The following is a 2,279-nucleotide window of genomic DNA, read 5'->3' as shown; positions in this document are numbered from 1 at the left end:
CCCCACCACCCCAAAATACTTTTTTTTTCAAAGAAGTTATGGTGCTGACAATCCCCCAGGGACCAGTGGTCCACTCACTTCTTATGTCGGGGAAATCCACTCGACAGCAAAGGGCTCTGTGCTGGCTGGGAATCCCCACTGCAGCAGCAATCTTTGTGGGGCTGAGCTGCAAACGCTTTTCAGATTTAGCACGCAGCCTCATGAGGAGGAATAGTTGCAGTTGCCTCTGCTGAGAAACAAAGCTGATGACACTGAAACATCTGGGAAATGGGAATATTATTTCTAGAAGATGAAAACAAATGTCCAAGCTGGAAGTGCTGCTGGCACTGACCTTTGTGTGCCTGGTTCTCCCACCCCCAAATCAATTTGTACACTCCTAGGATCTGTGTAGGTGGAAAGACTTTGCTGTGTATTTGTAACTCAGCTCATTATCTGAGGGTAAGAAGAAAAGAGGCTTGGCGTGGCTTTCAGAGGAAGTAAGGTGAAGACTGTTCTCCCCCAAACAACTAAATAAACCACGTAGACCTTTCATGACTCAGAAACCACAGACTCCACAGCTAACATGCATCTATTCATTCTTGTCTACAAGTATTGATTGAGAGCCTGTTGTGTGACTAACACAGTGCTTGGGTTGAGAACGTAATGGTAAAACAAGATTCACTCTCTCCCTTCAAAAGCAGGTAATCCCACTCTAATGTGGTACATTCTACAACATGGAGGCAGTGGAATATAGTAGCAAGGAAGGTAGATTGGGTTTTGCCACTAACTAGCTGTGTGACCTTGGGCAAATCACTCTGCTTCTCTGAGCTTCAATTTTCTCATCTATATTTCAGGGAAATTACCCACGTTATGGGATTTAATAAAGTCATATTTACTATCAATGTTTAGCCTAGGTGCCAATAAATATTAGCTATGGTCTGGTTATGATTTTATGATAAGTGTTATAGAATGCTGTGGGGTACATTTATATATTGAAATATGCTATTTCTGGGCAAATATAACTATGTTCAGGATAAAGCCTAGAAAAAGTTTGAGTAATTGGAGGTGCTATGTTTTGCTTCTTGCTTGAGAGACCCTCTCTCTGAGTCTCTCTCCTTTCCCCTTTCCTGGAGCCCTGTGTTCTCTGGATCTCCCTTGGATTTTCTCCACCAAAATTTCCTCTCAGTGGATTGACAGATTGGAAGGAATCTAAGGACAGTATGCACATGGCATTGTCATTGATTTAGAGCATCACCCTTCCTGGAGGTATTCACATCTCACCCAGAAAATAGTGAGGTGTCAGTAAAAACTGCCTTCTGAAAGTAATTAAAGAGTTTGGTATTTGCATAGGGAGAGACAAATTGAGAGGGAAAAGTTCCAGAAACAGACCCATGAATACATGGAAATTTGGTTTATAACAGAGATGGCAACACAAATCTGCAGAGAAAGAGTGAACTACTCAAGTGCTGGGATAATTAGCTATGGAAAAAAAGAAATATCCCTATGTCATACTCTATACCCAGGTAAATTACAGATGGAATTAAGACCTCAGTATGAAAGGGAAAGTTTAAAACTTTGAGTTGCAAACATAGGGCACTTTAAAACATCAGAGCTATGTCTCAAAAGGCATACATCCAAAGGAAGAGACTTATATTGAAATATTATACTTGTGTGCCAACAAAGACACAATAGAGAGTTAAAATATAAGCTGCAGACTGAAAGAAGATACTTATAATGCCTACAGATAGCAAAAATTCTTGATACAGATGTATGTTTTAAATTCCTACAAATTAATAGGAAAAGATAATCCAATAAAAATGGACAACTAATATGAACTGGACAGTCATGGAAAAAAGAAAGAAACAACTCAGTCTCATTAATATCAAGTGAAATCCAAATCAAAACCATAGTGTGATATGATTTCAAACCCCTGAGGCTGGCAAAAATGATAATATCTGATAAAACCAAGTTTGTCAAGGATGCAGGGAAACAAATATTCTTATACATTGCTGGTGGGAGTGTAAGTTGGTGAGTCTATGCTGGAGAGTGCATTGGCAATATCTGTCAAAGTTGAAGATGTATATATCCTAAGATTTAGTCATTCTACTTCTAGGTATGTAAGCTAAAAGTCTCTTGCACATGTATACAAAGTGACAGGTGAACATATGTTCATTGCATCATTGTTTGTAAAGGCAAAAACTGGAAATCATTTAAATGCCTATCAATGAAAAGATGGACAAGTTGTGAATTAGTCATGTAATGCAGTACTATACAGCAGTTAAAGTAAATGAGATAGAGCT

This window comes from Homo sapiens, chromosome 10 (assembly GCF_000001405.40).
Source record: "Homo sapiens chromosome 10, GRCh38.p14 Primary Assembly".
Classification (NCBI taxonomy): Eukaryota; Metazoa; Chordata; class Mammalia; order Primates; family Hominidae; genus Homo; species Homo sapiens.
The sequence above is the reverse complement of the archived record's forward strand: the minus strand, read 5'-3'. Positions refer to the sequence as shown.